Here is a 14566-nt window from a genome sequence, read left to right on the forward strand (position 1 = left end):
TGTGCATCCCAAAGACGACCAGGAGAGTGAGGAAGGCTTGGCTCAACCCAGCCCAGTTGCTGACAAAGCCATCAAAGTACAGGTCTTACTTCCAACAGTGGGTCAGTGGGAAGAACACAAACACCAGCGTCTCTCAAAGGGCTTGCCTTGATATTGCCGCCTCTCGGCAATTGAACACTTCTCCCGTTCGCCTGAACCCTCAGACTTCTTTGAAGAAACTCTTTCCACCTATCCAAGTGCACTAAGTTCCTGGCATATAAAATTAGATGTGGTTATTTTATGAGGTGGTATCGTTTTGTGGAAAGTTGTTTTGGGGTGGGAGGTCAGACCAATTCGGGTTTTAATTTCATTTCAGTTACTTATTCGCTGTTTGACTTTGGCAAACTGACACAAGATCTCTGAGCCTGCTTCCTTGTCTGTGAAACTGGGCTAATGCTGCTGTGTGAGATGGTGGTGAGGGTTATAAGTGAGGAAGGTGAAGTTCCTAGCACAGTAGCTCACATGGGAGAAGGTGGCTGGCACTGTGCTTCCAGGAGATGGAAGCACAGCCAAGTGGCCCAGAGGACAATTCCCAGCTAGCCCCAGAAATAACAGGAATCCTTCCTCCAGGGATCATAGCCTTCTGAACTGCTTCCCTCCTGCCTGCCCTTCTCTATGTTCCTCTTTCTTCACTGTGGGTCAGGGAAAATATCATGCATTCATTCACTCATTCATGTATTCAACAAATACCTCTGGAGCCTGCTGCCTGCCAGGAACTGCTCTAGGTGCTAGGAATACAGCCATAAGCCCAACAGAGTCCTGACCTCATGATGCTTATATTTTAGTGGGGAGTTAGGCACAGATGCAGTAAACAAAGAAGATACAACATCCAGTGGCGATAACTGCTATATAGTGAGATAAAGTGGCGTAAGAGCATATGATGGAGGTGACAGAAGCCTATTAACATCAACGGTGAGTATCTGATTTTTAGCATCACCTGCACACACACACAGAGTAAGGAGGGTGGGTCCCTGAGTTTACAGAGCCCTGTTATGAGGAAGGAGCACTGAGTGAGGGGGACACTCACTCATATGAAGGGACTGCATGGAGTGGGATCTAAGAGGTAGGAAGTGGTTGGAACTATACCCGCTGCAGAGTAGTTGAGGAAGAAAAGGGGAAAAGGCAGGTAGGTGACATGAAGTAGGGAGAGAATGGGGAAGGAAGATGGCAGCTGCCATGTGGCAAGAGAGAGGGAGGCTTTGGAGATCTCTCAGTTGATGGAACATGCTTCTGGGTGTCCTCATGGAGCCTCAGGAACAATCTGCATGCCTCACTGATGCTTTTGCCGTCAGTTTTGGGTTTTTTAGACCTGGGACGCTTGACACTGACCACAAGGTGAGGGCCAGGCTGGATTTGTATGTTTGTTGTTTTAAGTAATCCAAACCTTATAAACACATGTAAGGAGAAAACCCAAGGCTCTTTCCCTGTTCCCTATATTCCAGTCTCCAGAAGTGACTTATATTAGAAGGGAAATGTGAATCCTCTCTGATCCTTTCCTATAAATATACAAACACTCACCTATGCATAGTGTTTACAAATAAATAGTGGCTTCCTTGTCTTTTTAAAAAAGAGATGTGATATCATAATTTCCCAGGGCCAAATAAAAAAAAATAACTACAAGAATATTCTAGTACCAATCCTGCATCCTCAAACTGTAGCAGTTCTATAAAAAAGCCTATCTCTTCCTCCCACCGTCAAGCCCTTCTAACTTCTTAGCACACTCTGCCTCTGTCTGCCATTCTCTGCAAAGAAATGGTTTCTCCGGCAGGTATTGGCAGGCAAAATTATATCATTGCCTTTCCACCTATCCTACAGTCGTTAAGTAAGAGAGATGCCCTTACTCCCGACCCTCTCACCTGAAACAGGGTAAGGAGAAGGGTGTAGAAACTAAATAATTCACCTTTTGGTGTACCCTGAAAGAGAGAGGAGATGAATGATATGTCACCATGGAAATCAGGTTCTGTTTACTAGTAGCTTCCCCTACTTGGAGTGCATCAGGTTAGCCTGTAGGACAGTGGCTGTCAGCCCTGGCTGCACATTGCAATCTCCTGGGGCTAATCAAATACAGATACCGGTGCCCCACCCCTAAGGATATGATTTCATTAGTTTGTGAGATGGGCTGGCATCCAAGGTCCTTCTAATGTGAAGGCAAAGATTGAGAGTGGCTGCTATAGAAGAGCTCTTTCTGGTAAATCAGTCATTATCCTGAGCATCAAGAGTCTGCATAAATAAATTCAGAACTGTGTTTTGTTGTTAATATTGATACTGCATTCACCTGGGGAAGGAGGCTGCTTATTTGCCCACTTTTCAGAAACAATGAATCTTTAGTCCAGCTCCTTCCCTTTTCTTCCTTCGTTCGGCCTCCTTCCTTGTGAGGAGTAACAGCTGTAGAAGTCAGGGGACCTTACTGGCCGCACTAAGAGAGTACCTGTGTGTATCAGCCTTCAAGCAGTTTTGGGGTCAGACACCCACTTCTCAGACTTCCAGGCAGCTGCCAACCTTTGCCTTCCCTTCTTGGATTTCTTTCAACATGCAGATTTATGAGGTGGGGAATGCATGAGGGGTGGCTGGCGTCCAGACTTACTGTAACCAGAGAGAAATGAACAGAGCGTGCTCCAGGGGACATGCAGCACTTCCTGAACAAACTACTGGTGTCGCCATTAATGCTACTGACTTAGGAACCTCATGTGCCTTTTTGTCTTTTTCTTCACTCAGCAGGACCGGCATCTATTGCTAATGTTAGGTTTAAGCATTTAGGGCAGAGCATGCCAATCTTCCCTTGATCCATACTGCTCATTGATCAGTGGTCACATTTGTAGCACACCTCATGTCTGTGGGAGGTAGCTGTGGGGTTGAGAACTGCTGAGGCAGGGGGTTGAGTGTTCCCAATTAGGGGTTGGCAGTAATCAGGTACTGGGGCGGGGCTTATGCCACTTGCTTTATTGTTCACGTAATAACAGTGGACTTGGATTGTGAATTCCTTGGAACAAGAAGAGTCCCTTCTACTGTATTTACCCGGGAAGACTTCTCTGATTTCCTGGGCTGATTTGCATTCCCCTCCTAGGTACTTTGGTAGTTGTCCCCGGAGTGGATCATAGCCAATACCACCCTGTGTTGTTCCCACTAATTTACCTATCCGCATGCCCGTGAATCACAAACCCTCAAGGGCAGGGTGTCCCCAGTGCCCACACCACACTGGTTTTGTAGTAAGAGGTGCATGCACATATGCTAGGAGATGGAATGCTTATCAGCACCCACATTTCTTCCAGCCTAATTGTATGCGCTACATTCACACACACCTGGATCTAAATCCTGCTCTTTGCTTCCAGGCTGTCTGACCTTGGGCAAGATACTTCCCCTTGCTAAGTCTTGTCTCCTTCCTTTCTAGGATGCAGCTGATGATAGGACTGAACCGATTGGGTGCTACGGAGTATTAAATGTGATAGTATCTGCCAAGGGTTAGCACAGGGCTGCTCACGGGATCAGTGCTCAGTAAATGCTAGTTATCATGCAATCCTTATTGTTAGTTTCATTATTATCTGTATGATAAATTGATTGTAGTGTCATCTGCAAATAGGTAAATAAAGCATTATACATTGCCAAAACAACTTTAACCACCTTACACTTGATATTTATTCTGATTAAACAACAATGACCTGAGAAAGTAGTATAGAAAGTGATTGTGCTATGCTGGATACAATATCAGCTAGAATGCAAACGTTAGCAGCCAACATACTGACTGCAGCCATCTAAGATTCTTGGGAAGGCGGGAAAATTAATAGAAAGAGCACTGGAGAGGGAGTCCACGTGGGCAGGAAGCTAAGCAGCAGTGAAGACAGCGTGGCAAGATTTGGATAGAAGGACTGGCCAGCACTGTGGAGAGCCCTCTTAATTGGAGGGAGCAGCTGTGTATAAAGACAGTCTGCAGAGCAGCATGCCATTGCCGTTTCTGAGTAAATTTGTACACTGTTTGCTGTGAGTCACTGCCAAGATCCTCTCTTTTGTACATTATCAGATCAAAGCTTTAACTCGACCAAAAAAAGGTCTCATCTCCCATGCCTGTGTAGGGAAACTGAATCTCACTTGCGCCCTTCTGCTCCCATGGAACCATCGCAGAGGCCTAGAATGCCCTAGCTTTCTTTCTCTTCTTGTGTGCTAAGTCACCAAAATCTGACATGCTGAACTGTCAACTTAATGGTGGAGTTCGGGTTGAGAGCTGATTTCTAAAACCACTGCCACCTCTGGACAGCAGCCATTCGGATATCAGGTCAAGGTTTGGGAGACTATTAAGAAGCCAGCACCAAGACATGCTGGTGGAGAAGTCGGAGTTTTATCACGTCCTACCTACTTTGCGGTGAAATGAAGGTCTTCATAGTGAGGTGGTGATGAACGTTGCCGATGCGGTGAAGTCATCCTTCATCACTGTGCTATTTTGCTTAGAGCTTCAACTGCTACATTATGTCTTAAAACTTGTCAAGTTGTGCACAGTACACTGACTTCATAGGAGAAAAAACGCGTTGTGTAAAAATATAAAAAATCAGACATTTCTGGTAGAACGAGACATTATAACTCAAAAGTCCTACAGATAAATAATAATTAGGAATGGCATTTACTCCACAGAGCAGGAAGAAAACAACATTCTCTATCAGCTACATCCTCAAATGGTTACAGTTTCCTGTCTCTAACCACAACTAATAAAAGGCCAGGTACACAGCCTTTAGGAAGTTAACATAAATTTTTTCTTGGGGAGGTGGCATGGCGGTGGGGGGAACAACTGTAAAGAAGTCTGTTTCTGTTTCCTAAGTATTTTTGCCAATAAAAACAAAATCGTTCCCCACTTGTTAGAAAATGTAACAAAACCACCTGTCTGCCCTTGAGGAGATGGAGAACAAAATCAACAATATTTGCATTTTGACTACACACAGAATTAATCCATAGAAGCAGAGGCATTTTTGAGGCCCAAGCGTGATAACACTTCCGTGCATGGTTCTACAGACAAGATAATGTCCGTGCTTCAACGACAGAGATGGGGCTAGGCTGCAGCAAGGGCAGTGGGTTCCTAGGGCAAAACATTTTAGGACGGTTATTCCTCATCCTCAAACTCTGAACTTATCTGGCCATTTTAGGAGAGGAAACTGAGGATCCAGGAAGTGAAGTGATTCTCAAAGGTATCACAGCTAGTCAATAGCAGATCCAGTACCCAGGGAGGGAAACAGCTGATTATAAGATAATCAAAATGAATAAACACATCTATTCTATCCTGTGTGTATTTCGATGGGCATGTTGGGGAGAATCATTGGTGATTCTCAGACTCCTTTTTTTTTTTTTTTTTTTTTATGAATTAGCAGATCCTTGGATTTCACTGGAGAAACCAGTGTGGCTACTGATCCATTACAGAATCTAGCATTCCCCAGAGAGCAAAAACCTCCTCCTGGGGGGCGCGCTCCAGCCTATATAGATTTGGTGCACCAACACTGCACTGTCCTCATGAATAATCTCTGATCAGAGGATACTAATTAAGACGTGGCAATGCCCACTTAGTAAATTAGCTAAATTGACAAAACTCAATTTAAATAACAATTTTGTCTCTTGTGATAGAATTATAACGACACCCTTCACTTAATGAGCCAGACACTTAATAATTCAAACATACTTACAGAAAAATCAAACAAAGCTTCTCAATCCCAGACTGGGTTTCCCACCACCTCTCCTGCCACTGCTTTGCAAAAATGGTAGCTTGAACACTGTGGAGGAGAGGCTGGGTATTTGGTGAGGAGGGAGGGGCTGACCAGTTTCTGGGCAGAGTAATTGGTAGGTGACTCCTTCAACAAACTTCCAGCCAGCTGCCTGTTTTTGTAAATAAAGTTTTACTGCGGCACAGATATGCTTATTTCTTTGTATAGTTGTCCAGAGCTGCTTTCAAACCACCATCAAAAATTTGAGGAGTTGAGTAGTGGTGACAGAGACCTTATGGCTTGAAAAGCCTTCAACATTTATTATCTGGCCCTTTAAGAAAAAAATCTGACCCTTTGAGAACAAGTTTGCCAACCCGTAGACTTGGGCTGCACCTTGGATCTATGGTTCCCTGGGTGTGCAACCTTGAATAGATACTTCCCACATCCCTGGCCTATGATTTTCTTAAGTGTAAAATAGGGATGATACAAAGACTATCTCCTGAGACTGTGAGAATTAGGTAAGATGCTGCACGCTTATCTGTGCTTGGCACATAGTAAGTGTTCAATAAAAGGCTAATGAGATTAGTAAAAGCAATGATAATAGGAACATATATTGAGTACTTATATGTTCTAGACTCTGTGCTCAGTTCTTTATCTATATTAACTTGTTTAATCCCATAACAACCTATGAGGGAGATATAATTATTTTAATTTTACAAATGGATAAAGAGTATTTATTATTATTTTGTCTATTCTTCTAAATTCTCATTTAGTAACACTTTTGCCCAGTAGTAACTGCTCTCCTGGCTGGCAAGCTGCTCAAGGGAAGGTCCTGAGGGTCCTCATTGTCCCTGGACCCTAGACCTAAAGGCATGGATCATTCTATTGGTCACTGACAACACTGAAATCAAATATTTCTTCTCTCACGTGAGTGGTGGGTCCCTTTCTCCATTCTGCCTTTCCAGCCTCCCTTCTTTGTCTTTCACATCCTCTCCAGGCCTTTGCAGTGTAACAGGAGGTGGACATCACCCCCAGGTATGGCCAGACAGATAGTGAAAACTCAGGCCAGTAAAAACTCAGAAATCCTGGGAGCCATTAAGTTTTGAAAGAGCCACATATTCATTTATTCAGTACACATCTATTGTGTGCCTAACATGCACCAGCCATGGAGGTTATACTTGCAAGACAAAATGCTCCCTGCCTCTCTAAAGCTTGCAGTCTATTCAAGAAAAGTTTACAGCTACCGCACAGCTGCCACCTTAAAGAAATCTTTCTTTTTCTTTCTTCTTTTTTTTTTTTTTAGCACAAAAGTAAATGTGTTCTTCCTGGGATGTCCGTGTCCAAACACAGTCACACATCACTTAAGGATGGGGATATGTTAAGAGAAATGCATCATTAGGCAATTTTCTCATTGTGTGAACATCAGAGTGTACTCACACGAAGCTAGATGAGAGCCTACCTACTACCTAGGCTATAAGGTAGAGCCTATTGCTCCTACGCTGTAAACCTGTATAGCATGTTACTCTCCCGAATACTGTAGGCAATTAGAACACATTGGTAAATGTAATGTGTTTTTCTAAACATAGAAAAAGCATGCCAAAAATATGGTATGAAATAAAAAATGGTCCACCTGTACAGGACACTTGCCATGAATGGAGCTTGGAAGTTGCTCTGAGTGAATCAGTGAGTAAGTGGTGAGTAAATGTGAAGGCTTAGGATGGTTACTGTACACTACTGTAGACTATCAACACTGTACACTTAGGCTATGCTACATTTATTAAAAATATTTTTTCTTCATCAGTAGAAAATTAACCATAGCAGAGTGTAACTTTACAAACTTTTCATTTTTTAACTTTTTACTCTTTTGTAATAACGCTTAGCTTAAAACACAAATATTGTATAACTGTGCAAAAATATTTTCTTTCTTCATATCCTTATTCTACAAGCATTTTTCTTTCTTTTTTTTCTTTTCTTTTTTTTTTTGAAATGGAGTCTTGCTCTGTCGCCCAGGCTGGAGTACAGTGGCGTGATCTCGGCTCACTGCAAGCTCCGCCTCCTGGGTTCACGCCATTCTCCTACCTTAGCCTCGGGAGTAGCTGGGACTACAGGCATGCACCACCACGCCCTGCTAATTTTTTTGTATTTTTAGTAGAGACGGGGTTTCACCGCATTAGCCAGGATGGTCTTGATCTCCTGACCTCGTGATCCGCCCACCTCAGCCTCCCAAAGTGCTGGGATTACAGGCGTGAGCCACTGTGCCCGGCCTTTTTTTTTTTTTTAAACTTTTTAAGCTCTTTTGTTAAAAACTAAGACACAAACACACACAGGAGCCTAGGTCTACACAGGGTCAGGACCCTCCCTATCACTGTCTTCCACCTCCACATCTGGTCTCATTGAAGGTCTTCAGGGACAATAACATTCATGAATTTGTCACCTCCTATAACAATGCCTTCTTCTGGAATATGTCCTGAAGGACCTGCCTGAGGCTGTTTTATAGTTAATTTTTATTAGTAGAAGGAATACACTCTAGACTGTGATAAAAAATATGATATAGTAAATACATAAACCAGTAACAGTCGTTTATTATTATTGTCAATTATGTGCTGTATGTAATTGTGTGTGCTGTACTTTTATATGACGGGCAGCACAGTATGTTAGTTTACAAATAGGTGAGTGATGCATTGTGTTATGACATTAGGATGGGTGCGATGCCACTAGGAGGTAGGAATTTTTCAGCTCCATTCCGTCATTGACTGAGACGTCATTATGCATGTATATATATGTTTTCATATAAAATTAATATACTTAAAGTTCTTATAAGGAACTCAGCTCTATATTAAGGTCCCTAAAAAATATAAGAAAGGTAAAAAAAGTCAACCTAGAGTTAGCTCCTTCTCTGTGTCAGGCACTGAATAAGGTACTTTGCCCTCTTCAGCTCATTAATTTCTTACCACAAGAGTTGATCATTTCCCATTTTATATGTGGAAAAACAGAGATTCTGAGTGTTTAAGTGTCTTGCTTAAGGATAGTTGGCTATGAAGAGGCAGAGTCATCTTTCAGATCTTACCTCCAAACCCCAACACCTCCCATTCCCCAGGGAGTTTTCTCACTGTGTCATCTAGAGCCCTGGTGACGGCTGTGGGTGGGGAGAGGGGTGATTAGGGTCCCATGGTCCCCTCCGTCTATTGAAGTAGCGCCTTCTTCCACAGTTTTCTGTGTGTGTATTCTACAGATCTTTAGAAGGGACCTGCTGCTTTAACAATGAAGGTAGAACTGTGCTGAGAAGTTGGTGGTCTTTATGGAGTGCCAGCTGTGTGCCAGACTCTGATCACTCTCAACCAGGGGCAATTTTGTCTCTCAGCAGACATTTAGCAGTGTCTGGAGGCATTTTTGTTTTTCACACCTTGAGTATTGCTATTGGCATCTAATGCAATGGTCTCCAACCTTTTTGGCACCAGGGACCAGTTTCGTGGAAGACAATTTTTCCACAGACCGGGAGGAGGATTCAAGCACATTACATTTATTGTGCACTTTATTTCTATTAGTATTATATTTTAATTTATAATGAAATAATTATACAACTCACCTTAATGTAGAATCAATGGGAACCCTGAGCTTGTTTTTCTGCAACTAGACAGTCCCCTCTGAGGGTGATGGGAAACAGTGACAGATCATTAGGCATTAGATTCTCATAAGGAGCACGCAACTTAGATCCCTCACATGCACAGTTCACAATAGGGTTTGTGCTTCTGTGAGAATCTAATCCCACCACTGATCTGACAGGAGGGGGAGCTCAGGCAGTAATGTGAGTGATGGGGAGCAGCTGTAAATACAGATAAAGCTTCACCCACTCACCTGCCACTCACTTCCTGCTGTGCAGCTCGGTTCCTACCTGGCCACAGACTGGTACCAGTTCATGGTCCAGGTGTTGGGGACCCCAGATCTAGTGGGTAAGGCCAGGAATGCTGCTGCTAATCATACAGTGAGCAAGAATTGTCTAATAGAATGCCGATAGTGCCATGGCTGAGAGACCCTGTTCCATACTAATTCTTAGATAAACAGAGGTGAGAAAAACAGACAGAAAGCCTGCCCTCATGAAGTGTGCTTCAGTGGGGTAGGCAGATATTAATCCAGTCACCCACGCTGAGTCTTTAATCTCACAAACTGAAGCCGCGCCCCGAAGGGAAAGCACAGGGTGTCGGGAGAGCAGATAACAAGGATCCCTTGTCTGTGAGCTCCAGAAAGGTGCTTTTTAAATTTATTTATTTATTGTTATTATTATTTTTTGATGTGGAGTTTTGCTCTTGTTGCCCAGGCTGGAATGCAATGGATAATCTCGGCTCACTACAACCTCTGCCTCCTGGGTTCAAGCAATTCTCCTGTCTCAGCCGCCCAAGTAGCTGGGATTACAGGCCTGTGCCCCCAGGCCCAGCTAATTTTGTATTTTTAGTAGAGACTGAGTTGGTCAGGCTGGTTAGAGAGGCTTCTGTCTGAAGGCAGAGGGCAGGTGGAGTGGGAGTGGTGTAGGCACAGGTTACTGCAGGTGCAAAGGCCCCATGGAACCAGGGCAAGTGTCTGTTGGAAGGCCTGTGGGCTAGAAAGGAGAGTGCAAGAGGTGGGCTGCACAGTGATGGAAAGAAGAACCAAATCTGGCAGAACTTTGGCCATCTTAAGGAATCTGGACTTGATTAAACTAAGAGCTGTGGGGACCGTGACGGCTCCTCCAGCAGGGTATGGCATGATTTTATTGGAACTGGAAAAGATCACGCTGACTGTTATGTGGAAAACAAACTGGATGGAGCAAGAGTGGCCCTAGGGAACCAGCAGACATCGAATACCACACGCTTTCTTGCATTGCAGGGATGGGACAGGGGCATTCCCCTCCAGAATAGAACCCCACTTCCCTGGGGCTGCCAATTTTGGTTTGCGTTAACAGCAGGGTCACGCTGCATCAGGAACTCTGTCACCTATAAATGTCAAGTCCCATCCTTTCTCCCAATTTAAAAAACACACACCATTCAGAAGTAAAACTGTATTATATCATTTCAGTTTCACATCTGTTCTGTAGTTGCAAAATAACAATTCCACTGCTGTCGTTAGCCTGAACGAAAACAGTTCGACATGAGAAGGATGTGGGCCTGTCTCTAATTTCTTTTTTCTTTATTGACCTTTTCCAAGGTATCAGGAAGCAGATTCTCTCATTAAGATGTTGACACCTGAGAAAGTCTGTAGCATATCTTATTTATGGCAGTGTGTGTATGGGTGATGGAGAAGGGAGTTTAAAAATCAACTGTCAAGGCAATAAAAATATTATCTTCCTTGGTCTATTCTCTCTCTGCAATGACTTCTGACTTCTCTGAATCATGAAGTGGATCCATGCCTCTCCCATGGTCTAATTAACTTAGAGGGAGACTGGGTAGGAGGAGAAATATGTAAAGATGCCCAGAAACACAAGTTTGTGGAGCTGACACAATTCATTTCTGATTAGCAACAGTTCATGCACTCGTCCATGAGCCACACAGATGTTCAAGTGGGTTGTCTTGAGGTATTGGGAAATTATCATAAATTTGAACTCATTTGCAAGGATCTATTTCCATATTTTACAGAAAATTGTAATTTTCCCTCCCAAGTTCCCTCCATTGTGAGGAGGAGGAATTTTTCACCAAGATGGTGCTGGCTCTGCTGGAAGCAGCTCTTATGAGTTGAGGATGCAGGGCGGTCTGGAGTTGGCCTTGGCCCTGCAAGCAGTACAGAGAAATAGAGGACACAGCTCCTGCCCTCCACATTGGTCGGAGAGACCACGAGGGTTCAGGAAACAGAGATCACCAACTAGCCTGCTCAAAGGTTAACTGTCAGGAACCTCAGTCTTTGTTGCTTCCAAGGCTTGGTCTGAACTCTTCCTTTCAGCCTTGACCACTGTGTGTGCTCGCCTCTGAACTCAGATTTTCTTACTCAGCTGAAATAAAGAATGACAATAATCCCTTCACAATGTCATTAGGATTAAATGAGAGACTCTATGTAAAACACCTGGCAAATCGTATGCGTGGGACAAACATGGTTGTTGATATCAATAGCTAAAAAAGAGGAATAAGTATAGGAATGTGTTGGGCTGGGCTGGAGGAACCTGCAGGTCTTTGGAACGCTCTGCAGCTTCTCTATTCCATTCAATGGAAATATCATTGAGTTTTCCCCACACCCAGGCCATCAATGTCTCTGCTTCCTAAAGTACCCGTGTGAAGTTGAGTTTCAGCTTTGGAGCATGCTTCAGGAATTTGAATTGGATGAATAGGTTTTAAAATATTCATTGGTACATTTCCTTTGAAGAAAACCCAGGATTCTGGGTTGGATTTATCTTGAGGAATAAGCAGTAGCTGTCTAAAGGTTGATCCCACCCTGAGATCCAGGCCCTGTGGACAGGCAATACTTAGGTCCTGGACCTGTGGCCCGCGGGCCATATTCTACACAGGAATATGGCCCAGACTTTTAAAAAATGTGAATCCTTTCTAACATTTAAACTCTAGGAGTTTTCACATAAAAAGATTTTAGGGCCTCTCTTGAGAAAACAGAAGGTCCCACATTCCCATACAAGTCCATCCCACGTTGATGGAGAGTTGCCGTTTTCACAAGATTACACATGCTATTTGGTTACCCTCACCTCCTGGCTTGTCTATTATATTAATTTATCTGCCTGGCCTCATCAGGCATTAGAGTTTGCAGATCTGGGGGCAGTGGTTCTCAAGGTGTGGTCCTGGGATCAGTGGAATCAGCATCACCTGGGAGCTTGTTAGAAATGCACATTCTCAGGCCCTTCCCAGGCCTACTGATTCAGAACAGTTGACGGTAGGGTCCAGGGACCTGTGTTTTAGCCAGCCCCCAAGGTGACTCTGACGCTCATTAAGTTTGAGAATCCTTACCCCATGGTAAGGGATGAGCACTGGAAAATGAAGGGAACTGCTTCTAATGTCATCTTTGCCACTTAATTCAGTGGGAAAATTTAGAAAAGCCACTTTGCTTTCTTATTGTCTCTGTAAAGTGGTAAGAGTGGGCTAATAGCATGGTGTGACTCTATAATTCTCCAGGTCTGTGGACTAAGAATTAGTATTTATAAAGTGCTGACCATGTGCCAGGACCGGGGTAAGCACTTTACCTGGATTATGTCATTTAACACTAACCATGGCTCCCTTTGAGGACTGATTTTATGGATGGAGAAATTGAGGCTCAGGGGCGTGAGCTGCCACACCAAAGGCCCTGCCTTTGAGTGCCCTGGATTTATGTAACTGAGAGCTGGTGAGCCCCAACTCCCTGATATTCTATTTCCTGTGACCTGCCCATGCACAGAGGTGTCTGAAAGGTGATGACGGCAGTGTGGCCGGCACCTCAGAACAAAGCTGGCAGGTCCTTCAAGGCAGGCAGAGGCATGTTCTACCAAACAGGAAGGATTATCAAAAATAGAACGTGGCAGCCGTGGCCTTCTCCAGCCCCAGTTGCAAGGAGCCAGCCGTGACTCTGGAGAGATGCTGAAGGAGGCAGGAGATTTGGAAAGGGAGGGAGGGAGAGCAGCCAGGCCTGTGCAGTGAATACCAGGGAGGCTTTGAAACTCCCCCGTCCTCAGTGGAATCCCAGCCATCCCTTATGGAGTGACCTTGGGAGAGCATTTTAATACCTCTGTGCCTTGGTTTCCTCATCTGAGAAATGGGGACAATCCCCACTTCACAATGATTGGGAGCAAACAGGTTAATGAAAAGCATCTGGGATGCTGTAAACAGCTGAACATGTGGTGGCTCTCACCAGTGCTAGGAACCTTGCTTGCCCTTTCTGGAGAGCTCTAGAAGCACCTTGTGCTGTTGTCTGTGATGATCGGAAAGCTGAACGGTTTCTGACCATGGGAACAGCCTTCCTCCTCCATCTGCCTTGTGGGCTCCAGTTGCTCAGAATGCTTCATTTTCCAGACATCTTGTTTCCTTGCCCTGTCTCTTGTCTGCTACATGTTCTAACTTCTTTCTCCCTTCAGAAATCCTCTCTGGGGTCTATCCAACCTGAGAATGGCTGGCAAATACCTCTAGGAGGATTTAAATCCTGACTACAACTTCAGAGGTGTCTTCTTAGCATGACCAGGACAAAAGAGCATTCACAGGGACCCTCAATTCTCAGATTAGGGAACCGACTGTGGTTTCATTTTCTTTCTCTTGGCCCCAGAAGAATCCTCTGACATGGTTAAAAAGGTGTGGGTTAAAAGCAGACAGGCTGGTTGTGCTGCAGCTGTATGAGCTTGGGAAAGTCATGCAACCTCTCCAGGACTGTGTTATCATTCATACAACGGGTCAATAATACCATACTAACGCCTTAGCAGGCATATACCGAGTGGTAGTTCTCTTCTCTCCTCTAGTTAGAAGACATATATAATTTTGGGCAGAGAGCTCAAGGGGAGAGACTGGAACAAATTTGAACTCTTTGGGTCTCAGAGTGAAAAATCAGTGAGAATAAACTCAACAGAAATGCTAACAAGTGTTATTAATTGAGCTGTTACTTCGTGCCTGGCACAGTGCCAAACACTTTGTATGTGTTGTCTCATGCAATCTTCCCAGGCGTTCTTTTTTAATTAGGGAGATAGTATTGTGCTCATTTCGAAGGTGAGAAAATCAGGGCTCAGAGAAGTGAAGTCTGTTGCCCAGAGCTCACAGCTACTAACTGGCTGAGCTGCATCTGCAGTGGCCTCTTCACACGGGTACTAGGAAGGAGTAGAACGGAGGCTGGATGTGCTCCTCCCGCTTAAAAATCATTCTTTCAGCCTGCAGAACACTTGCCTCTGGTTCTCTCGGCCCCCAAGGCTTTTCTTCAGCAGCCAGCACCTC

The 14566-nt window shown here is 44.2% G+C and overlaps 2 protein-coding genes across 8 annotated transcripts in view; one reads left to right on the top strand and one right to left on the bottom strand.

The window, feature by feature from the left end:
• DOCK2 (dedicator of cytokinesis 2) overlaps positions 1-14566 on the top strand; it is a 446108-nt gene that overhangs the window by 293950 nt on the left and 137592 nt on the right. The window contains exon 28 of one of the 4 annotated variants that reach the window (XM_011534449.3): positions 3428-3647. The exons of 2 other annotated variants lie outside the window; for them this stretch is intronic. In XM_011534449.3, the coding sequence (XP_011532751.1) occupies positions 3428-3502 (75 nt within the window). In that variant the 3' untranslated portion in view covers positions 3503-3647. Of the gene's footprint in view, positions 1-824; positions 3393-3427; positions 3648-14566 lie in introns of those variants that run through there. One more of the 4 variants, XM_017009190.3, reaches the window with a different exon arrangement.
• INSYN2B (inhibitory synaptic factor family member 2B) overlaps positions 1-14566 on the bottom strand; it is a 119193-nt gene that overhangs the window by 69922 nt on the left and 34705 nt on the right. The gene's annotated exons all lie outside the window — the stretch shown is intronic.

This window comes from Homo sapiens, chromosome 5, assembly GCF_000001405.40.
Source record: "Homo sapiens chromosome 5, GRCh38.p14 Primary Assembly".
Classification (NCBI taxonomy): domain Eukaryota; kingdom Metazoa; phylum Chordata; class Mammalia; order Primates; family Hominidae; genus Homo; species Homo sapiens.